At 40.3% G+C, this 24,843-nt stretch overlaps 1 protein-coding gene across 19 annotated transcripts in view; it reads right to left on the bottom strand.

Moving 5' to 3' along the window:
* Positions 1 to 24,843, bottom strand: part of CYP20A1 (cytochrome P450 family 20 subfamily A member 1) — a 67,009-nt gene that overhangs the window by 15,280 nt on the left and 26,886 nt on the right. For 5 of the 19 annotated variants that reach the window (NM_177538.3, NM_001371697.1, NM_001371699.1 and 2 more), the window contains 6 exons: positions 24,066 to 24,233; positions 17,999 to 18,077; positions 12,059 to 12,174; positions 10,634 to 10,688; positions 5,015 to 5,135; positions 871 to 982 (listed from right to left, as the gene is read on the bottom strand). In NM_177538.3, coding sequence (NP_803882.1) covers positions 871 to 982; positions 5,015 to 5,135; positions 10,634 to 10,688; positions 12,059 to 12,174; positions 17,999 to 18,077; positions 24,066 to 24,233 — 651 coding nt within the window. Of the gene's footprint in view, positions 1 to 870; positions 983 to 5,014; positions 5,136 to 10,633; positions 10,689 to 12,058; positions 12,175 to 17,998; positions 18,102 to 24,065; positions 24,234 to 24,843 lie in introns of those variants that run through there. The other 14 variants (NM_001371706.1, NM_001371702.1, NM_001371704.1 and 11 more) reach the window with 8 other exon arrangements.

Here is a 24,843-nt window from a genome sequence, read left to right as displayed (position 1 = left end):
CACTTGAACTCGGGAGGCGGAGGTTGCAGTGAGCCAAGATTGCACAACTGCACTCCAGGATGGGTGACAGAGTGATACTCTGTCTCAAAAAATTAAATTAAAAAATAAATCATGGTACATTCACACAATGGAATATTATGCAGCCATTAATAATAATGAGTCAAATCTGTATCAAGTGCTAGGTATACTAATAGCCATGATACATTCAATAAAAGAAAATTAAAGAACAATATAGAAAGAGTAACTTTTCACATATAAATTGTTTAATACATATGTATATGTGTGTTTCTATACATATATACACAGAGTAATATACATACACAGAAATAGGTCTATAAAAATACATACTAAACTGCTAACAGTAGTACCTTTTGGGAAGGAAGACTTTTATATTGCTTGAACTTTAAAACAAGCACATATTATTTTGTAACTAAAATAATTGTGTCTTTTATTTAATAATGGGTAGCATTTATTTGCCACTTTAAACAAATTTAAAATACACACCAGGCTGGGTGCAGTGGCTCATGTGTGTAATCCCAGCACTTTGGGAGGCCAAGGTTGGCAGATCACCTGAGGTCAGGAGTTCAAGACCAGCTTGGCCAAGATGGTGAAACCCCGTCTCTACTAAAAATACAAAAATTAGCTGGCCATGGTGGCGGGCGCCTGTAATCCCCGCTACTCGGGAGGCTGAGACAGGAGAATCCCTTGAACCTGGGAGGTGGAGGTTGCAGTGAGCCAAGATCGCGCCATTGCACTCCAGCCTGGGTGACAAGAGCAAACCTCTGTCTAAAATATATATATATATACACACACACACACCAAAAGAGTTGAGAATAGCTGAATGAATTAAACATATTAAAGGTTTTCTACCTCTCTAGGAATAATAAATCGGTCAATTTTTCCTTCAATATCTTGAAGCTGGGCAGAAACTGGAGTCAGTTTGGCAGTTCGAACAGTTTCACAAAGCACATGCTGACAATATCTGTTTTAAAAAAATTTTTTTTGAAGATGTTTATTTTGGGAGGCAGTTAGAAATGTACATACATTTAAAAAACGTTCTTCAACAACTGCTCAAACATTCCCAACTTGAAATAGTCCCATCATAATTCTTATCTGCTTAAAGATATGTTATATATTAGAAGTACATAAAGATTAACAATTTTATAAATTTTAAAATAAATACATTTTTATAAGATTTGTTATAAATCTGTATATAACTCTAGGTAGATAAAGATTTCAACAAATAAAAACACTTTTAAAAGTACCAGAAGAAAACTCAAAATAATGTTTCTACAATTTTTAAAAAGTTTATTTTTAGCACGAAGCTGACAGAAAATTATAAAGAAAAATATACATAACCTAACTAGAGAAACATTTTGTTTACATATTTCTAAAGATAACTAGGAAAAATATTTTCAGTAAATATATCTTTCATGTATAAAACCTCTTTAAAAGTAATTAAAATAATCCAACAATCCCATAGAAACAGGGACGGAGAATACAAAAAGCAATTCACAAAAACTTACAAATGGCCTGAAGACATATGAAATGATACTCAACTTAATTAACAACTTAAAGATTGCCAATCATAGCATTTTTTTTACTTGCCAGATTGACAAAGATGAAAAAGAATGAGAGCAGATATTACTAGAAAAAGATGGAGAAAAAGACATTCTCATATCCAATTGGTGGAAGTATAAACTGGTAAAACCTTTCAGAAGCATAATTTGGCAATATATATCAAACTCTTAAGTGTACATCACAACGAGAATAAAAACTAAAATGTATTGCAATCTTGCTATGAGTCAGTTCACTTAAATGCTCTATATACAGGATCTTATCGAATCCTTACAAGAAACCCATGGGTACTATTATTATTCTAATTTTACAGATTAAAATCAGAGGCAGTTATTTAAGATCACACAGCAGGTAAGTTGTGTGTCACAGGATTCAAATCTTAACCACTGTCCTACTGCATACATCCTTCAACTAGAAGCTCACTTCTAGGACCTTATTATACAGAAATATTTGGAAATATTAGTAAAGATGTAAGCACAGAAGTGTTAATTGTTTGTAACATCAAAAACAACAAAATCAAAAGGGGAAACATTCTTCCTTCCTTTCCTCTGTATAAATATTTATTGCGTACCTGCTGCATGTGAAGCACTGTGCTAGATACTGAGCTACAACAATAAACAAGAGATACATCATCAAAGGGGTTCAGAATCTAGTTGGCAGTGGGGAGGCAGATTGGATAGGACATAAAGGATGAACAATTAAGTATAGCACATGTTATAAAGGAAGTTCAGGGTATTACTGGAATATAAGGTAGGAGCAGCTACTCTAGGGAAAGGGCTTTGTAGAGAAATAAACACAGGCTGGGCTGGGCGTGGTGGCACATGTCTGTAATCCCAGCATTTTGGGAGCCAGAGGCGGGTGGATCACTTGAGGCCAGGAGTTCGAGACCAGCCTGGCCAACATGGTAAAACCCTGTGTCTACTAAAAATACAAAAAATAGCTAGGTGTGGTGGTGCATGCCTGTAATTCCAACTACTTGGAAAGCTGCGGCATGAGAATCGTTTGAACCCAGGAGGTGGAGGGTGCAGTGAGCTGAGATTGCGCCACTGCAATCCTGCCTGGGTGACAGAAAGGGACTGCATCTGAAAAAAAAAAAAAAAAAAAAAAGAGAGAGAGAAATAAACACAGGCTGAAACCTGCAAACAACAACAACAACATTAAAAAAAAAAGAAAAGAAAAACTCAAACCACCACCGACGATAAAAAAACACTCCACCCCAAAACCAAAAACCAAAACCCGGACTTAACTAAAGAAGAGACGAAAAGAGAATCTATACAGAGGAGTAGTTTGTGCAAAAGCCAGGACAGGAGATAAGAAACTAAAGACTTTGAGTAGAGCTAAACTGAAAGCTATGAAGAGGCACAAGTGAGGATAAGGTGGGAGTACACAAGGCCCAGCTTTTGAAATGCTTCATAAGCTATATTAGAGCTTAAACTTTTAAAAATTATTTATTTACTTATTTTTAAGAGATAGGTTCTTGCTCTGTTGCCCAGGCTGGAGTGCAGTGACACTCTATCATGCTGCAGCCTCAACCTCCCAGGCCCAAGTGATCCTCCCACCTCAGCCTCCCTAGTAGTTGTAACCATAGGCACATGCCTTTATGTCTGGCTAATTTTTAAATATTTTGTAGAGACAGGCTCCCACTATGTTGCCGTGAATGGTCTCAAACTCCTGGGCTCAAGCAATCCTCCAGCCTCAGCCTCCCAAATTATTGGGATTATAAGCATGAGTCACTGCGCCTAGCCCAACTGTTACGGGCTTAAGGGCACATTTACAAAGGAACCTCACCTTCTACTTCATACACTTCGGTATGATAAAAACTTCAAAAGACAACTAGTATTACTTTTAAAATAATAGTTACAGTCAATGTAATAAATAAAACTTCCAACATTTAAAAGCCTCCTAGTTCTTTCCAGTGGTTATCTTTTCTTTTTTTTTTTTTTTTTTTTTTTTGAGATAGGGTCTCACTGTCACCAGGATGGAGTGTAGTGGTGTGATCGTAGCTCACTCCAGCCTGGACTTCCTGGGCTCAGGTGATTCTCCTATATCAGCCTCCTGAGTAGCTAGGACTACAGCCATGCACCACCATCCCTGGCTAATTTTTTGTATTTTTTTTTTAGAGATAGGGTTTTGCCATGTTGCTCTGGCTGGTCTTGCACTCCTGGGCTCAGGTGATCCTCTTACCTTGGCCTCCCAAATTGGTGGGATTACAGGTGTGGGCCACTGCGCCCAGCCACTCTATCTTTTCTATAGTTGATTTTATGCTCCAAGATAGGGTTGCTTGCTACCCAGTCTCAGACTTCTAACCCAGAAGCAATCACAGTTGCAATTAAAAAAAAATTAAATTAAGGTATAGTTATATGCAATAAAATTAACCCATTTTACCTGTACGGTTTGAATTTTAGTAATTGTATACAATTGCGTAACTACAACCACAAGTAATATATGATAGTTTCATTTTCTTCATGCCCCTTTGTAGTTGATCCCCATTCCTAGCCTCCAACAGTATGCTTTTTATCACCACAGTTTGCCTTTTCTAGAATTTCACACAAAGGAAATCATATAGTAGCCAGTATTTTATGTTTCACTTCTTTCCCTTAAATCACTAAGATTCATCTGTGTTGTTGTGTGTATTGATACGGTGTTCCTTTTTATTACTTGGTAGTATTCTATGGTATGGTAATACCACAATTTGTTTATCTATTTACCAGTTGAACATTTGAACTACTTCCAATTTGCTATGAATATATGCAAACAGGACTTTGTGTAGTCATGTTTTCATTTATCTTGAATGAAATTCCAAGGAGTGGAACTGCTGGGTCATATAAGTGTATGTTGAACTTTTTAAGAGCCTATCATATTGTTTTCTATTGTTTTCTTTTCTTTTGAGACAGGGTCTTGCTCTGTAACCCAGGCTGGAGTGCAGTGATGCAATCACTGTAGCCTCGACCTCCTGAGCTGAGGTGATCCTCCCACCTAAGCCTCCTGAGTAGCTTGGACTACAGGCACGTCCCAGCACATCTGGCCAATATTTTGCATTTCCGTGTTGCCCAAGCTGGCCTTGAACTACTAGGCTTAAGTGATCCACTTACCTTGGCCTCCCAAAGTGCTGGGATTACAGGTGTGAGCCACCACGCCCGGTCAAGCCTACTATATTATTATCTAATGTGGCTGTCTATTTTTTATGACCATCAACAAAGTATGAGTGTCATACTTGCTTGACTTCATTAGTACTATTTCACAGGCTAAGTTAAACATTTCCCACACAACCTTATGATTTTAAAAAGCAGATTCATTTACCTAATAAAATCTACATATAAATACTTTAAGTCCTATAAAAATATGTAGCTTTCCTAGATAGCAACAATAGCTTTAAATTAGATAAACCAGTTCAAATTTACCTTTTAATAATCTCCTCTTTTTATTGTGTTCTTACCTGAGCTGCTCAATTTTCTCTGGAGTAACAGGACCATTTCCAAAAACTTGGTTTATCTCTTCATATAATTTTTTTTGAACTTCTTCAGAGGTGGTTAAAAAACAGATTGCCCAGGTACACACTAGGTCAAACATTATATGAATAACAATGAAAATAGCTAACTCATGGCTTGGGTATAGAATAAGAAAAAAACTACTTATTTAGGGTGGGATTTTTGTATTTGCTTTTTTTCTCCCATGATATAGAAGATATATAAGTGCTACTAAAAAGTAAAATTCTTCACAGGGTTTATATTATATGGAACATCAATATTTACAGAATGCCCTCCAACAGACATAGTGCAATCTGGATGCCTTCTTTCTTAAAACTGGTAAGTAACTGGAGCCACTTAATTTTACCTTAGGTAAAATAGTTATGATAATAAATAAATATCATATCTGTAGGAGTGCTCAATGTTGGCTGTTGCAATGGATTATCTCATGCACTCAACCTTATTAGGCCGATTTATCAGTTCACTTAGGAGCACTAATGAAATAATTCAGACAAATCAAGCTAGCAGATTTATCGATAAATCAATATTCTAAAATATTTACTTGTGATGGTAAATACACTGGCTCAAAATTTGTGAGTGGTTATTGCTTAGAACAGTTCTCAACCAGACGTGGTGGCTCACACCTGTAACCCCAGCACTTCGGGAGGGGATCACACGGAGGGGATCACTTTGGGAGGGAATCTGAAGCTGGGGGATTGCGTAGGCTCAGGAGTTCAAGACTAGTCTGGGCAACATGGCAAAACCCCATCTCTACAAAAAACTCAAAAATCAGCTGGGTGTGGTGGTGTGTGCCTATAGTCCCAGCTACTTGGGAGACTGAGATGGGATGATCACTTGAGCCCAGGAGGTTGAGGCTGCAGTGAGCTGTGACCGTGCCACTGCACTCCACCCTGGGCAATCAAGTGAGATCCTGTCTCAAAAAAAAAAAAAAAAAAAAAAAAAAGCAGTGGTTCTCAAAAACCACCTGGGAGATGGCTGATGCTATAACCTCACATTCACAAATTCTGGTTCAGTAGGTTTGTGGTAATGTCCAAACATCTGTACTTTTAACAAATGGAATATCGAATTTATCTCAACGCCAAAATGGGAAGATCACTGGCTCATGGCTTACTTTAGCTTAAACTGGTTTATGGATTGTATTCACTGAGGAAATGAAAATGTAAAGAAATTACATGTTGAGAAAAAAACCAGAAGAAATGAAAATGTAAAGAAATTACATGTTGAGAAAAAAACAGAGGAAAAAGAGTAGTTATATTTCCTTTAGTAATACACTGGGATTATAACTATTAAAAGAATGGAAACTTCTGAACATATATACTACCTCTTTCCCTAGAATATGTTTGAGCTGACACCATCTGTAGCTCTATTGTTCCTGTGTCAAATACTTTTTAATATCCTTCTAGTAACTTGTACTTTACTTACCAATGATCTCTTTCCTGCGCTAAGGGTTAACTTAAACTTATCTCAAAGTTAATTTATAAAAAAAAGTTTGCCTGATTCACCTTATTACCAATATTGTTACCATTAAAATCAGTAGTAACCTGGTACTCAATTACTCTGATTAGTTTTCTTATATCTAGAGTTCACAAAAAACATGAGTGACTGCCTGTCCTTAACTTTTCCCTACATATGCCTCTTCATTATGGCTTCTGAGTGAACTGTAGAATTGCTATTTTACAAGTGATGTGAAAACTTGTGCAGTGTACAATATGTATGTCACACAATTTTACAACATAGAGTAATATACAACTGAAGGAGTCACCACAAAGATTTGCACACAGTGGTCAATCCTGTACTCTGCTTGACTATATTATCACTTAAAATTAATATAACAGGCCGGATGCAGTGGCTCACACCTGTAATCCCAGCACTTTGGGAGGCCGAGGCGGGCAGATCACAAGGTCAAGAGAACGAGACCATCCTGGCCAACATGGTGAAACCCTGTCTCTACTAAAAATACAAAAATTAGCTGGGCATGGTGGCACGCGCCTCTAGTCCCAGCTACTTGGAAGGCTGAGGCAGGAGAATTGCTTGAACCCGGGAGGCAGAGGTTGCAGTGAGCCGAGATGGCGCCACTGCACTCCAGCCTGGTGACAGAGCAAGACTCAGTCTCAAAAAAAAAAAAAAAAATTAATATAACAATATGAATTTAATAATCTCACATTGGCTGGGTGTGGTGGCTCACGCCTGTAATCTCAGCACTTTGGGAGGCCAAGGCGGGCAGATCACGAGGTCAGGAGTTCGAGATCAGCCTGGCCAACACAGTGAAACCTCGTCTCTACTAAAAATACAAAAAATTAGCCAGGTGTGGTAGTGGGCGCCTGTAGTCCCAGCTACTTGGGAGGCTGAGGCAGGAGAATCGCTTGAACTTGGGAGGTGGAGGTTGCAGTGAGCCGAGATTGCACCACTGCACTCCAGCCTGGGCGACAGAGTGAGACTCTGCCTCAAAAAAAAAAAAAAAAAAAAAAATTCTCACATTGACTTTTGGTTTGTGGGTTTTTTTTTAGATAGGGTCACACTCTGTCACCCAGGCTGGAGTGCAGTGGTAGTGATCACAGCTCACTTGAGGCCTTGATCTCCTGGCTAAATTGATCCTCCCACCTCAGCTTCCCAAGTAGCTGGGACTACAGGCACATGCCACCATGCACAGCTAACTACAATTTATTATTTTTTTTGTAGAGATTGTGTCCCACTATATTGCCCAGCCTGTCACACTGGTTCCTTTGTAGGACTCTTAAAAATGATGACTGAAAATAGCTTTAAAATGTGATTTTAAGCCACTTAATGTGTTTTAAATACAATACTGAATCAGACACAATTTCATAGCTTAGAGATAACTTGGAAGGTCATCTGGAGCTAAACTCCTATTTTAGAAAAGGAGGAAAATGCAGAGATAAGTATCTTGCCCAAGGCTAATAAGGGGCAGAGTAAGGACTTATTAAGGTTTCTTATTTATCTACTCTCTCAAAAACTTCGGAGGAGACTTAAAAAACCACTAACCTACATCCAAATACATAGCAATACTCCTAAAATCTCCCTAAAAACTGAAAATAAGATTAAAATATTAATTCAACCTTGGAAATAGTCACTTTTCTTGGTGTCCGGAGCACAAGTGATTTAGATTTTTAAAGGTCTTTAGCAAAGACATATTAGGTTTAATGTAATGCGTTTTAAAAACAAGGATTTTAAATCTATTTTTATACTAATTTTTTTTAAGCTGGGGTCTTGTTTTATTGCCCAAGTTAGGCAAACTCCTGGGGCTCACGCAATCCTCCCACCTCAGCCTCCAACGTAGCTGGGACAAGTGTGCACCACTGGACCAAACAAATAGGCATTTTTAAAAAAAGGTTGAATAAGGCAGGACGTGGTGGCTCACGACTGTAATCCTAGCACCTTGGGAGGCCGAGGCAGGTGGAGCACCTGAGGTCAGTTCAAGACCAGCTTGGCCAACATGGTCTCTACTTAAAATACAAAAATTAGCCAAGCATAGTTGCAGGCGCCTGTAATCCCAGCTACTCAGGGGGCTAAGGCAGGAGAATCACTTGAATCGAGGAGGTGGAGGTTGCAGTGACCTGAAATCGCGCAATTGCACTACAGCCTGGGTGACAAGAGCAAAACTCCGTCTCAAAAAAAAAAAAAAAAAAAGGTTGAATACATTATTTTTGACATATGCTTACCTAAATTCAATTTAGTCATCTATAGTATCTGGACATTTCTATATGTTAAAGAAGAAAAATTTATGGGACGTTTACATTTGTATCCTTTTAAAGAAAGCTTCCTTAAACATTGAGGGATATAAATGAAATCCTTCAAGTGAACACAAATTTTCTAAAATTTAAATTCATGTCCTAATACTTCCTTTTGTTTTTTGTTTTTTTTTGAGACAGAGTGTCGCTCTGTCACCCAGGCTGGAGTGCAGTGGTGCGATCTCAGCTCACTGTAACCTCTGCCTCTGGGGTTCAAGCGATTCTTTTGCCTCAGCCTCCTCAGTAGCTGAGATTACAGGCATGTGCCCCCACACTTGGCTAATTTTTGTATTTTTAGTAGAGACAGGGTTTCACCATGTTGGTCAGGCTGGTCTCGAACTCCTGACCTTGTGATCTGCCCACCTCAGCCTCCCATAGTGCTGGGATTACAGGCATGAGTCACCATGCCTGGCCTCCTTTTGTTTTTTGACAGGGTCTCACTCTGTCACCCAGGCTGCAGTCCAGTGGTGCAATCATGGCTCACTGCAACCTCAACCTCCTGGGCTTAGGTGATCCTCCCACCTTAGCCTTCCTTACATAACTGGGATTACAAGTGTGTGCCACCAGGCCTGGCTAATTTTTGAATTTTTTATAGAGATGGGTTTCCGCTGTGTTGCCCAGGCTGGTCCCAAATTTCTGGGCTCCAGTGATTCATCCACCTCGGCCTCCCAGAGTGCTGGCATTATAGCTGTGAGCCACCTTGCCTGGTCCCCTAATACTTCCTTTAAGTATTTTTATCTTAGTGTATTTTTATGCCTATTGAAGTATTTTTTATAAATACTGTATAAATAAATGGTACTCCACCAATCTAAAAACCAAGTGAGGAAACTTAGAAACATATCAAATATTTTACAATTTTACATAAAAATCACCTTCAATTCCAACGAGAGGAGTTCTTTTAAATCGTGATTTCTGTGGCCTATATACTCTTGTTGGTAGACCTTAGTAATAGCAGACTAGCTTGGAGTCAAAGTGGAAAGCAGCAGCAGGAAATGAAAAGCTCACTGTTTTGGTTGGAAAGGTGTCAACAGCAGTTCATTTTAAAGGCACTAACAAGAATTCACAATCCATAAAATGTGTCAAGAAATTTATGGCAATTTTCAGAGGTGGCTTTAAGCACTTGGGGTTAAGAAAAAAAGCACTTATGTGAGTCAGCCCTTTAAAACAAGACTAAAAAAGAGGGAAAAATTATAAAGAAGTCCTCTAAACAGTGTTTTATTTTTGTTTGTTTGTTTTGAGACAGTCTTGCTCTGTTGCCCAGGCTGGAATGCAATAGTGTGACCATCACTCACTGCAGCTTCAATCTCTTGGGCTCAAGTGATGATCCTGCCTCAGCTTCCCGAGTGGCTGCAACCACAGGCATGCGCCACCACACCCAGCTAATTGTTATTTTTAGCAGAGACGAGGTCTCACTATGTTGCCCAGACTGGTCTCGAACTCCTGGGCTCAAGTGATCCTCCTGCCCTGGCCTCCCAAAAAGTGCTGGGATTACAGGTGTGAGTTGCCATGCCTGGCCTTGTTTTTTTTGAGACAGGGTCTCACTCTGTTTTCAGGCTGGAGTGCACAATCACAGTTCACTGTAGCCTCCATCCTCGTGATTCATCCTCTTGAGCAGCTGAGACTACAGGCACGGGCCATCATGCTCAGTTAACTTATTTTTTTTGTAGAGAGGGTCTCTGTTTTCTGAGCTGGCCTCCAACTCCTGGCCTCAAGCAATCTCCCACCTCAGCCTCCCCAAGTGTTGGGATTACAGGTGTGAGCCACTGTGCTCAGCCTATATATTTAGTAATTCCTCTGAAAAAGAAATCAATTTATACTTACATTTTGCAGTTATTATGCAACTGGCCAGAGAAAATATCATACTGTCTTCTAGGATCTAGGAAACAAAACTAAGTTTAGAAAGTGTGAAAAATGTAAGGTAGCCTATATTAGGCCCTGCTAAAATAATCTACAGCATAAAATTAGTGTCAATGAAAAAAAAAGTATATTATTTCATTTTGATGTTTTCACTAAAACAAAAAACCAAATCTGTATAATGTGAATACCAACCTAAATACCACACTGCTTTTTAAAAATATTTTTAAAATTGATGAACTATAGTTGTATGTATTTTGGGAGTACAAGTGATTTTCGGTACATGTATACAACATGTAATGATCAAATCAGGGTATTTGTTGTGAGTATTACTGGTTCATGATCTACTTTGGTAAACAAACTCGGTCCTATTTTTCTGGCTTAGCCTAGTAAACAGCAATGAAGCCTCAGAAATAGGACAGAAGATCTCATCCCTGTCCTGGAAGCCAAATTCAATTTCTGCACCAACATATATCAAACTACTTCTGGCTACAAGGACTTGCATGTGTATAGTGAGGCAGAAGATTCCTACAATGAAGAGGTGTGGCAATAACAACTCACCTCACTGGCCTGACAATACCACAAATGCAGTGGTATGTTGGCAGTATTGTCAACAAGCCACACTGCCACACCTGGTCAAGCAGGCAAAGTGATTTAGTCTAATACACCTAACACAAGTCCTTCTCCTCTTTTGTAATTCAAGAATTTTGGCTCAATTTAATAATATTAAATAATATACAGCTGCCTCAAAGAGCTAAATAATAGAGACCAAGTACTTGTACTACCAATGATGTACAATAAAAGATGTACGATGCAGCTGGGTGCAGTGGCTCACACCTGTAATCCCAGCACTTTGGGAGGCCAAGGCGGGTGGATCATGATGTGAAAGAGATAGAGACCATCCTGGCCAACAAGGTGAAACTCCGTCTCTACTAAAAATACAGAAAAATTATCTGGGCGTGGTGGTGCGCGTCTGTAGTCCCAGCTACTTGGGAGGCTGAGGCAGGAGAATCGCTTGAACCCAGGAGGTGGAGGTTGCAGTGAGCAGAGATCGTGCCACTGCACTCCAGCCGGGCGACATAGCGAGACTCCATCTCAAAACAACAACAACAACAAAAAACCCAAAAAAACATGTATGATGCTTCTCTTAAGCCACTGAACTCTAGGAGGGTATCTGGATTAAAGTGAATGAAAAGCACACTGTATATATGTGTGATTATCATTATTTTTTATAGATGGCGTCTTGCTATATTGCCCAAGTTGGCCTTGATCTCTTGGGTTCAAGTGATCCTCCCACCTCACCCTCTCAAGTAGCTGGGACTACAGTCATGAGCCATTGTGCCTGGCTCTGGCTTATTTTTTTACCTGATAAACATTTAACAATTATATCACCTGTTGGTCATTAAGGTTCCCTTGTACTAAGGAGTCAATGAAAATATGTTGACTGAAGTTCCTTCCTTTTCGTTCTTTTATGATGTTCCTTAAAACAGACTCCAGTTGCATGAGGGCTTAGAGAAAAAAACAAAATAATTTTAGAATACAAGCATTAGTGGAGACTGAACTTTAAAAAAATAATTCTGTGCAATGTTACTATATGAAGAAAACCTTCAAAGTTAGTAACCAACAACAAAGAAAGCTAATTTATGTTTAAACTCATCATTTTCTTCCTTTTTTGCCAAATTTAACATACATACAAAAAAGTGCACAAAGCATGTAAGTACAGTTTAAGGAATAATTATAAATCACCACCAACCACCTAGGTCAAGAAGTAGAGCAATGCCAGCACTTGACTTTTTCTTTTATTTTTGAGACACAGTCTTGCTCTGTTGCCCAGGCTGCAGTGTAGTGGTGTGATCTTGGCTTACTGCAGCCTTGACTTCCCAGGCTCAGGTGATTCTCCCATCTCAGCCTCCCAAGTAGCTGGGACTACAGACATGCCACCACGCCCAGCTAATTTTTGTATTTTTGGTAGAGACGGGGTTTCACCATGTTGGCCAGGCCGGTCTCAAACTCCTGGGCTCAAGCAATCCATCCGCCTCGGCCTCTTAAAGTGCTGGGATTACAGGCGTGAGCCACCCGCACCTGGCCTAATACCAGCACTTTAGAGGCCTCCAAACACATAAGCCTTTCTTCTCTGATATCATCCACCTTCCTTCTAAATTCTGTCTTCTTAACTCCATTCCTTCTCCCAAATCAGGAATCACTTATTTAGGGATAGAAACAGATGTGAGATAATCAGAAAAGCAAATTTCTAAAAACCTAAAAGAGGCTGGGCGCAGTGGCTCATGCCTGTAATCCCAGCACTTTGGGAGGCCGAGGCAGGTGAATCACGAGGTCAGGAGTTCAAGACCACCCTGGCCAAGATGGCAAAACCCCATCTCTACTAAAAATACAAAAATTAGGTGGGCTCAGTGGCAGGCACCTGTAATCTCAGTTACTCAGGAGGCTGAGGCAGGAGAATCGCTTGAACCTGGGCAGCAGAGGTTGCAGTGAGCCAAGATTGTGCCACTTCACTCCAGCCTGGGCGAGAGAATAAATAAATAAATATTTTATTTATCTCTAAATAAATAAATATATAAAATAAAAACCTAAAAGATATCAATAACTGATATCCAATGGCCCATAAAATTATACACAAATGTTTCAGTCTTCATCTTACTTGACCTATCATATCACTGATGATGTTGATAACGTATTCTCCAAGAAACACTTTTTCTTTTTCTTTTTTTTTTTGAGACAGAGTGTTCCTCTGTCACCCAGGCTGGGGTGCAGTGGCGCAATCTCAGCTTACTGCAACCTCCACCTCCCGGGTTCAAACGATTCTCCTGCCTCAGCCTCCTGAGTAGCTGGGACTATAGGCGTGTGCCACCACGCCCGGCTAATTTTTTATATTTTTAGTAGAGACGGGGTTTCACCGTGTTAGCCAGGATGGTCTCCATCTCCTGACCTTGTGATCCGCCCATGTCAGCCTTCCAAAGTGCCGGGATTACAGGCATGAGCCACCACGCCCGGCCAAGAAACACTTTTTCATGTGGTTCCCAGGACTATACTCCCCTAGACTCCACACTTCCCTCCCACTTTACTGCCTGCTCATTCTGTCTCCTTTTTTGATTCTTTTTCAATCTCTTGAATTTCTCAGTAATGAAATGCTCAAGGACAGGGCTGTTTTGGGACCTCTTTCCTTTTTCTATCTATATTCACTACCTGGTGATCTCTAATCTCAAGGCTTTCAGTGCAATATATGTACCGTGCACTTCCAAATCTGTATTTCTAGTCAGGACTTCTTTCTCTTCAGCTCCAGACTCATGTATCTAACTCTAATAACAAACTCAACCTCTGCACTTGGTTGTCTGAAGCATACCAAACACTGAACTCTTGAGCTTTCCCCCAAATCCTGGATCTTCCCATAGTCTTCCCCATCTTATTTCCCGACAACCTCCTTTTGCAACTAGGCCAAAAACCTTGGTGTCTCCCTCTCCCTTATACCCTAATTTTAATCTGTCAGCCAGTGTTGGTAGGTCTACCCTCAAAGTACCAAATTATTTTCTTCCTCCTTTTTTTTTTCTTGTTCTATATTTCCTGTTGCCTGCCACTTGGTCCAAGCCACATTATCTCTCATGCCTGGTTTATTGCAGCAGCCTTCTAACTAGTTTCCCTGCTTTTGCTCTGGACCCATACAGTCTATCATACCAGTCAAAGTGATCCTTTTGTAACATAACTCAGATGGTAACTCTGCTCAAAACCTGCCAGTGGCTTCCTACCTCATAGTAACAACCTAGTCACACAATGGTCTGTAAGCCATACAAAACCCATTCCTGTCTCCAGTCTTTCTGACCTCATCTTCTGCTCCTCTTCTCACTCACTTCATTCCAGCCATACTGGCCTTCCTGTTGTACTTCAAATACAGCAGCAGAGTCCTACTTCAAGGACTCTGTAATTACTTTTCCTCTACATGGAATATTCTTCCTTTGAACATCTGGGTATCCACATGTTCTGCATGAGTGGTTTCATCTCTTGCAAGTGTTTACTCAAAAGTCACCTCATCTTGGTGAGGCCTTTCCTAATAATTACTTAAAATTGCAATCTCCCAACCCCCGGCACTCCCTATCCCCTTCTGGTTTTATTTTTGTCTACAGCATTTTTCACCTTTTAATGTACTATTCAGTTTACTTATTTAGATTACTGTCTGTCTCTTCCCACTAGAATGTGGTGCCACAAGGGCAAGAAATTTTGTTTAGGTTCCTCAGCATCTAAAACATGCCAGGATATCACAGATCTACATTAAATATTTATAGAATTGAATCAATATAATACACATTAGTGATTAAAATGAGAAATTATTCCCAGGCACGGTGGCTCACGCCTGTAATCCCAGCACTTTGGGAGGCCGAGGTGGGTGGATCACTTGAAGTCAGGAGTTTGAGACAAGCCTGGCCAACATGGTGAAACCCCGTCTGTACTAAAACTATAAAAATTATTTGAGCACGGCGGCAGGCGTCTGTAATCCCAGCTACTTGGGAGGCTGAGGCCCGAGAATCGTTTGAACCCGGGAGGCAGAGGTTGCAGTGAGCTGAGATTGAGCCACTGCAATCTCACCCAGCCTGGGCAATAGAGCGAGATTCAGTCTCAAAAAAAAACAAAAAAAAAGAAAAGAAAATAAGAAATTATTAACACTATAAAGAAGTTGTTCCCAGGCTTTGCTGCACATTAGAATCACCTGAGAAGTTTTTTCAAACAACAGTAAAGCACAAGTCACACGTCATGTCAATTAAATCTGAATGTTTACAGGTAGGAGTCAGGCTTCAATATTTTTAAAAAGATTCAATGTGTAGCAAAGTTTGGGAACTACTGTTGTACATTCTCAACCCTACAAGTACATTAGAATAATCTGGAGAGCCTTTACAAAAATACCTGATGCCCACGACACCCTGATCTCAGATTCTGAATAAACTGGTCTAGGATAAGGTCTGATCTTCAGGTTTTGTGCTTTAAGTTCTCCAACTGATTCTAATGTGCAAAGCAGGTTGGGAATTAAACAAAGGAAGCTCTGATCCAGTCATGGCATCCCATTTTTATAAATACTAGAACATAATCATTTCTAATAAAAGCTCAAATTTGATTTATGCCCATGTTACAGCCCAAGGAACACATTATGCCAGACAATTTATTTAGGATCAAAGAATATAAATTATTTTCATTTCATGTTAATTTAACCAATATTTCTGAAATACATTTTTTATCAAGGGGAATTAATCCAAACGCATTGATCAAGATAATCATAATGGTCATAAAAACCAGATAGCAGGAAATGTGTCAATTAAACTGGCTTTTTTTTTTCTTTTTTTACTTCTGTTGGACCAAGAAAATCACTAAAACAGTAAGCTAATGAGGACAGGGATTTTTGTCTCCTGTGCACAGAATAGGGCCTAGCACAGCCTCAATAAATGTTTGTTGAAAGGATGAAGAAAGAGAATCCTGTGAAGCAATACTATAATGTATAGAAAACAATCCAGTATTCTAATGCAGCCTCTGTATTTTAATTTATCCTGCATGCTTCCAAAAAAATGAATTGAGGTAGCTTAGAATAAAAGTATTGGCCGGACGTGGTGGCTCACACCTGTAATCCCAGCACTTTGGGAGGCTGAGGCGGGCGGATCACCCAAGGTCAGGAGTTCAAGACCAGTCTGGCCAACATGGCGAAACCCCATCTCTACTGAAAATACAAAAATGAGCCGGGCATGGTGGCAGGCGCTTGTAATCCCAGCTACTCAGGAGGCTGAGGCAGAAGAATCGCTTGAATCCAGGAGGCAGAGGTTGCAGTGAGCCGTGACCGCACCACTGCACTCCAGTCTGGGCAACAGAGTGAGACTCTGTCTCAAAAAAAAAAAAAAATTATTTTAAAAAAAAGTATTAAAGCTTTATAATTATTCAACCACTGACAGAGAATACAGAACAAAAAAATAATAAGGGAGAATAATTAATTTGGGGGTACTACATTACATTAAAATTGCTATTTTTCTGTGTAAATTGTATAAAGTTGAAATCAATGCCAAACAACATTGAAAATATTTTTATTCAATGTTATAATGGCAAGAATTTTTTAGGATGCTAATTTTTTATTTTTTATTTTTTGGAGATAAGAGTCTCACTCTCTCACCAAGGCTGGAGTGCAGTGGCACGATCTCAGCTCACTGCAACTTCTGCCTCCAGGGTTCAAGCGGTTCTCATGCCTCAGCCTTTTGAGTAGCTGGGATTACAAGTGTGCGCTGCTGCACCCGGCTAATGTTTTGTATTTTTTTAGTAGAGGTAGGGTTTCACTATGTTGGCTAGATTGGTCTCGAACTCCTGGCCTCAAGTAATCTGCCTACCTCAGCCTCCCAAAGTGCTGGGATTGCAGGTGTGAGCTACCGCACTGGGCCTATGTTGCTAATTTTTTAAATTTTTTGAGATGGGGTCTCTCACTACATTGCCCAGGCTGGTCTCAAAATCCTGAGCTGAAGTGATCCTCTCATCTCAGCCTCCCAAGTAGCTGGGACTACAGGCATGTGCTGCCATGGCCGCCATTTTTTATAAATATCCGTAATATTTAATCATGTTGACATTTCCCTACTAATTCCTATAATGTTGAACCTTTAGTTTGTTCCTGGTTTTCTACTTGCAGAAACAGTACTACAAAAATATCTTCATGAATATTGTCTTCTTTCATATAATTTCATCCATTATTTATGGTTCTTAGTATGCATTATTAAACTGCTTTCTTAAGATTGTACACTTATACTTTCCATTAATCCTGTAGAGTATACCAGCTCTACAACACTCTCATTCTGCAGTCTGTGCTAGAGTTTCTTTTACTAACTTATTTTTCCTCGCTTCTGTTAAAGAAAACTTTCATTGTAGAAAATATAGAAAAAAGCATAAAGAAAGAAAATAAATATAGGCCGGGCACAGTGGCACATGCCTGTAATCCCAGCACTTTGGGAGGCCGAGGCAGGCAGATCACAAGGTCAAGAGATCGAGACCATCCTGGCCAACAGGGTGACACCCTGTCTCTACTAAAAATACAAAAATTAGCTGGGCGTGGTGGCACCCACCTGTAGTCCCAGCTACTCGGGAGGCTGAGGCAGGAGAATTGCTTGAACCTGGGAGGCGGAGGTTGCTGTGGCCGAGATCGCACCACTGCACTCCAGCCTGGCAACAGAGCGAGACTCTGTCTCAAAAAAAAAAAAAAAGAAAATATAAATGACCTTTAATCTCACTATTCAGAGATTACTTTATTAAAACTGGGGCACATTTATTTTTTGTCCTCACTAAAAATTAAGTGACCAAACTTACCATCTTCATATTGTTTTTTCCGAGTCATGTTTTTATCAAGTGACCCATCTAGAAAGCCTTTTCCAATCTCAGACCAAACCTGAAAATAGGTAAATATACATAACTATTATCTAATAGGTAGAATTTTAAAAATAATACAGAGCAATGTAACCTAATGACTTAGGAACTCTTTAACTCTTTTTTTTTTTTTTTTTTTTTGAGTCAGGGTTCCGGCTCTGTCACCTAGGCTAGAGTGCTGGATTGCAATGGCACGATCATAGCTCACTGCAACCTCCACCTCCCAGGCTCAAGCCATTCTCCCACCTCAGCCTCCCAAGTAGCTGGGACTACAGTTGTGTGCCACCAACGCCAGCTAATTTTTCTATTTTTTGTAGAGACGGGTTTCACCATGTTTCTCAGGCTGTTCTTGAACTCCTGAGCTCAAGTGATCTTCTCATCTCAGTCTCCCAAAGTGTTGGGATTACAGGCGTGAGCCACCTACCCAGCAGGAACTCTCCTCACCAACAAATCTAATAATTAAGCTCTCCCTCTCAACTGGCTGCACAATCCTTTACTCCACAGTTTCAGAGGGGAGGGTACAAATATATTTTGATGACTTCAGTCAAGGCACTTTCAAACTAATAAGAAATGGAAAGTGAAAAATTCCTTTTCTCTAAAAGGAGTAGGGAGAAGAAAAAGGACACAGCAGTAGAGTCAACCCTCATTTTTTCTTCCCCCACGCCGAGACAGAGTCTCACTGTGTTGCCTAGGCTGGAGTGCAGTGGTGTGATCTCGGCTGACTGCAACTTCCACCTCCCGAGTTCAGGCAATTCTCCCAGCCTCAGCCCCCTGAGTAGATGGGATTACAGGTGCCCACCACCATGCCCAGCTAATTTTTGTATTTTTTAGTAGAGATGGGGTTTCCAGACTGGTCTCGAACTCCTGACCTCAGGTGATCCACCCACCTCAGCCTCCCAAAGTGCTGGGATTACATGTGTGAACCACTGCGCCCAGCCCTCATTTTTGTATTATACTGGCATAAGTGTAAAAATAAAATTCACAGGTAATTACAAATTTCTGTTTCACCTGTAATATTGATAAACATTGGCTGAGGTAAAGAAAAAGGTTAAAAGTCTGAGATTTGGATATGATAAGCAGCAGAATAGGCTTCCAAATTTTCACAATTTGGTCAATAGCCCCTGAAAAAACTTTAACCTGATTTTAATTCAAAAGTTCTAAAAAGAATTTAGGGAAAGAACACAACACTTATTAAACAATGGCTAAACACTGTATTTGAAAAACAATAGATTTTTTAAAGTCCTCAATCCTTACCTTAAATGAAAATATTTCAGATTACTTAAATGTTAAAAAATCAAACTATTGGCCAGGTGCGGTGGCTCAAGCCTGTAATCCTAGCACTTTGGGAGGCCGAGGCAGGCGGATCACGAGATCAGGAGTTCAAGACCATCCTGGCCAACATGGTGAAACCCCATCTGTACTAAAAATACAAAAAAATTAGCCGGGCGTGGTGGCGGGCACCTGTAGTCCCAGCTACTTGGGAGGCTGAGGCAGAAGAATGGCGTGAACCCGGGAGGCGGAGCTTGCAGTTAGCCAAGATGGCGCCACTGCACTCCAGCCTGGGGGACAGAGCCAGACTCCGTCTCAAAAAAAAAAAAAAAAAAAAAAATATATATATATATATATATATATATATACACATATACATATATATATATATACACTCAAACTATTAAAACTACTGTAAAAATGAATAGTAGGCCGAGTGGAGTGGCTCACACCCATAATCCCAGCACTTTGGGAGGTCAAGGCGGGCAGATTGCTTGGGCTAAGGAGTTCGAGAACATGGTGAAAACCTGTCTCTACAAAAAATACAAAAAATTAGCCAGGCGTGGTGGTGAGCATCTGTGGTCCCAGCTACTCAGGAGGGTGAGGTGGAAGGATAGCTTGAGTCTGGGAGGTGAAGGCTGCAGTGAGCTGAGACTGAGGCACTGCAGCCTAAAAAAAAAAAAAAAGAAAAAAAAAAGTAAATATTTATATAAGACCCTTAAAGTTCAAAAGCAGTTTCTAAACATGACAGAACACAAGGCACAAATTCACAATGAAAGAGTTAAATTGATTTAGCTACATAAAAACAGTAACATTTGTGATACTGAAAAAGTATCACAAAACTTTTATTTACTATAAATAAATGTAAAAGGAAATGAAAACTGAGATTAGAAATAAAGAGCTGTTCTAGATTAGTAAGAAAAAGCAACACAAAAATAGAAATATAGGCAAAACAGCCAGGTGGGCCTAAAATCCCAGCTATTTGGGAGGCTGAGGTCAGAGGATCCCCTGAGCCCAAAAGTTTGAGACCAGTCTGGGCAACATGGTGATACTGTGTCACAAAAAAGTAAATAAAATAATGAAGAAATATAGGCAGAGGACATAAAAAAAAACCCAAGTGTTTAACAAAAGTATAAAAATATGATTTTTGGTTTTTTGTTTTTAAGACAGGGTCTGGCTCTGTCTCCAAGGCTGGAGCGCCATGGCACAATCATGGCTCACTACAACCTCCACCTTCTGGGCTCAAGCAATCCTCTGGCCTCAGCCTCACAAGCAGTTGGGACTAAAAGAATGTACTACCACATGCAGCAAATTTTCCTGTCGTTTTTTTTTTGGCAAAGATGGGGTTTTGTCATGTTGCCCAGGCTGGTCTTAAACTCCTGGGCTCAAGTAATCCTCCTGCTTTAGCTTCCCAAAGTGCAAGGATTATAGGGGTGAACCACTGCACCAAGGCAAAAAGATGTTTAACCTCACAAGTAATAAAAGAATTACACAACATGGGCATGGTGGCTCACGCCTGTAATCCCAGCACTTTGGGAGGCTGAGGTGGGCAGATCACCTGAGGTCAGGAGTTCGAGACCAGCCTGGCCAACATGGTGAAACCCCATCTCTACTAAAAATACAAAAATTACCTGGGCGTGGTGACAAGCACCTACAATCCCAGCACTTTGGGAGGCCGAGGCAGGTGGATCACTTGAGATCAGGAGTTCGAGACCAGCTGGTCAGCATGGTGAAACCCCATCTCTACTAAAGGTACAAAAATTAGCCAGGCGTGGTGGTGGGCACCTGTAATCCCAGCTACTGGGGAGGCTGAGGCAGGAGAATCGCTTTAACCTGGGAGGTGGAGGTTGCAGTGAGCCGAGATTGCACCACTGCATTCTAGCCTGTGCGATAAGAGCGAAACTCCGTCTCAAAAAAAAAAAAAAGAACTATATATTTCAATCATAAAATGTCATTTTTGGCTTACTGGATAGGCAAAAATTTTGTTTTTTGAGACAGGGTCTCACTCTATCATCCAGGCTGGAGTGCGGTGGTGTGATCCTCCTGGGCTCAAGTGATCCTCCCCTCAGTCTCCTGAGTAGCTGGGACTACAGGCGTGCATGCCACCACACTTCACTAATTAAAAAAAAAAAAAAAAAAAAAATTGGAGACAGGGGTCTCACTGTGTTGCCCAGGCTGGTCTTGAACTTCTAGGCTCAAGTAATCCTCCTGCCTTGGCTTCCCAAAGTGCTAGGATTACAGGCATGAGCTATCGTACCTGGCCTAGAAAGGCAAATATTTAAGGACCAACAATTCTAAATGTTGTCAAAAGTACAGAGTAAGAGCACACTAATATTGGTGGAAAAATACTTGGGACAATGTTTGTAGGGGGCAGTTAGGACATACAATATGCAACTGAAGGAAAGATGTATGTTTTTTCACATTTTAACACCTGTGAAATCAGTATGCATCTTACAACTGATGACATCTCCCAACTGTTTTCATCTAAGTAGCAGTCATGATGCAGTCGTCATTGGCTCTGAATTCACAAATTGGTTATTACTCCTGGTGGCATGACTCGACAATGGCCATCCCTTGGTATTTCAGACATTAAAAGATCATTTCAGGGGTGGGCAGGAGGGTAAGAAATCACTTAATGGGTACAATGTACATTATTTGGGTGATGGATACACTAAAAGCCCTGACTTCACCACTACACAATCTATGCATGTAATAAAATTATACATATAACCCATAAATTTATACAAATAAAAAAAATTCTTTGAAAGGCCACTCTGGTGGCAAGGCTGTGGATGTAAAAAACAAAACAAAACAAACAAAAAAAAAAACAAATAATTTGAGGAAGAATAAGTCCTGTTTATAGTCTGAAAAGTTTCCTTTGACAGCTTTTAGTAATATTAAGAAAACATCACATTCTTGCCAAAAATATGTATTTTGAATCTACTCATGAAATATCAGACAAACTCAAATTGAGGGATAGTCTACAAAATAACTGTCCTGTACTATCCAAAAATGTAAAGGTCTAGAAATGAAGAAAAGCTGAGGAACTGTTCCAGATTAAAGAGATCTGATATCTACAAGTACTGAGTGATCATGAATTGGGTCCTGGAATTGGAGGGGAGGAGACTGAGAATCCACAAGATTATTACTGATACAACCAAAGAAACTTGATAACTATGTTGTCAATACATAAGAGAATATCCTTGCTCGTAGGAAATATCAACTGCAATATTTAGAGGAAAACAGGCAAAATGTTGAATCTACTCTCAAATGGTTTGAGGAAAGGGGGAGGAATGGATGGATAGATAGATAGATGGATAGATAAAGATAGAAGATGAATGACAAAAGCATGTGGAGCAAGATGTAAACAACTGCTGAACCTGGGTGAAGGATATATGGGAGGGAGGGAGTTCCTTGTATTAACTGTAACTTTTCTGGAAGTTTGAAATTATTTCTATTTTGAGGTTATAAGAAAGGAAAGAAAAAAAACATCAGCATAAAAATATGCAGGATAAATATCAGCAACTGGAAGAAAATCCTGGAAACAGCGGTGAGATCGCTCTTTTTTTTTTTTTTTTTGAGATGGACTCTTGCTCTGTAGCCCAGGCTGGAGTGCCAGTGGTGCAATCTCAGCTCACTGCAACCTCCAGCTCCCGGGTTTGGGTGGTTCTCTGCCTCAGCCTCCCAAGTAGCTGGGATTATAGGCTCCTGCCACCACGCCCAGCAAATTTTTGTATTTTTTAGTAGAGACGGGGTTTCACCATCTTGGCCAGTCTGGTCTTGAACTCCTGACCTTGTGATCCACCTGCCTTGGCCTCCCAAAGTGCTGAGATTACAGGCGTGAGCCACCACGCCCGGCCAAGATCTTTCTTTTTTTTTTTTGGAGTGAGACAAGAGTCTCACTCCATCACCCAGAGCTGAAGTGCAGTGGTGCGGTCTTGGCTCACTATAACCTCTGCCACCTGGGTTCAGGCAATTCTGGTGCCTCAGCCTCCCAAGTAGCTTGAATTACAGGTGCAAGCCACCATGCCTGGCTAGTTTTTCTTATTTTCAGTAGAGATGGGGTTTTGCCACATTGGCCAGGCTGGTCTCAAACTCCTCATCTCAAGTGATCTGCCTGCCTCGGCCTCCCAAAGTGCTGGGATTACAGGTGTGAGCCACCACAACCAGCCAAGCCTTGTTCTTGATAGGCAACAACCTGCATTATTAAACTACCCAGTATGATGAAATAATTGTTTAATTTATTATTATTATTTTTTAGAGACAGGGTCTCACTCTTGTCTCCCAGGCTGGAGTGCAGTGCTGCAATGGTAGCTCTCTGTAGCCTTGAACTCCTGGGTTCAAGTAATCAATCCCTCCTGCCTCAGCCTCAGTAGCTGGGACAATAGGCACATGCCACCATGCCTGGCTAATGATGAAAGAATAATTTTATTTATTTATTTGAGACAAAGTCTTACTCTGTCACTGAGGCTGGAGTGCAGTGGCATGATCTTGGCTCACTGTGACCTCCACCTCCCAGGTTCAAGCGATTCTCATGCCTCAGCCTCCTGAGTAGCTGGGATTACAGGCACCCACCACCACACCCAGCTGATTTTTGTATTTTTAGTAGAGACACGTTTTTACCATGTGGGGCAGGCTGGTCTTTAACTCCTGACTGCAGCCTCCCAAAGTGCTGGGATTACAGGTGTGAGCTGCCGTGCCCAGCCTGAAAGAGTAATTTTAAATTTAGCCCCAGACTTACTGTGCCATGATTCTTCTGGAAGCGAATGACTTCCTGATCATCTTCAAATGTACTACCCATTACCATCTGTGTAACAGACTTCATAGCAAAACCAAGCATATGCTGGCTGAGGGGCACGTGCTGGGTCTCTGGGTAGGAGAGCCATTTATCTAATAATTCTTCTGAAAGCTGAAAGAGAACAGAAAAGCACAATGATTACTGTTTCTTCTTTCTAAATCTCAGAAAATGTTACTAAGTAGATTCATTTAATGGCAAACAGTTAAACTCTGTAACCAAAGTCAACATTCAGGTACGAATCTGTCAGACTAACACTAGCTCCACCTATAATTGCATCCTCAATGGTTCAGGTTCAACTTCTGGCAAAGGGCTGATATGTAAAACAAAACAGAACCACTATCACGACAATAAAAACAGAAAATATAAATTAAAAACTCAAAGATAGAAAAAACTTAAACCCAACGGAAATTAAAAGACCATACTCTTGGTATCTAATTAAAAATAATGAAAAGTCTGCCACAGAATGCCTGTGACATAATAATCAATAAACATATGAATATATATAAAAGTCCTAAACATACTTCAGTGACAGAAACCTCTCAGAGTCTCTTTGTCATTCCTTCCTTCACCAAATATTTATTAAATACCTATGGAATAAAAACAGAGTCTAGTAAAAAGATTACAAACAAGCTTTAGGCCGGGCACGGTGGTTCATACCTGTAATCCTAGCACTTTGGGAGGCAAAGGTGGGTGGATCACCTGAGGTCAGGAGTTGAGACCA

Source organism: Homo sapiens, chromosome 2 (assembly GCF_000001405.40).
Source record: "Homo sapiens chromosome 2, GRCh38.p14 Primary Assembly".
Classification (NCBI taxonomy): Eukaryota; Metazoa; Chordata; class Mammalia; order Primates; family Hominidae; genus Homo; species Homo sapiens.
The sequence above is the reverse complement of the archived record's forward strand: the minus strand, read 5'-3'. Positions and strand labels throughout refer to the sequence as shown.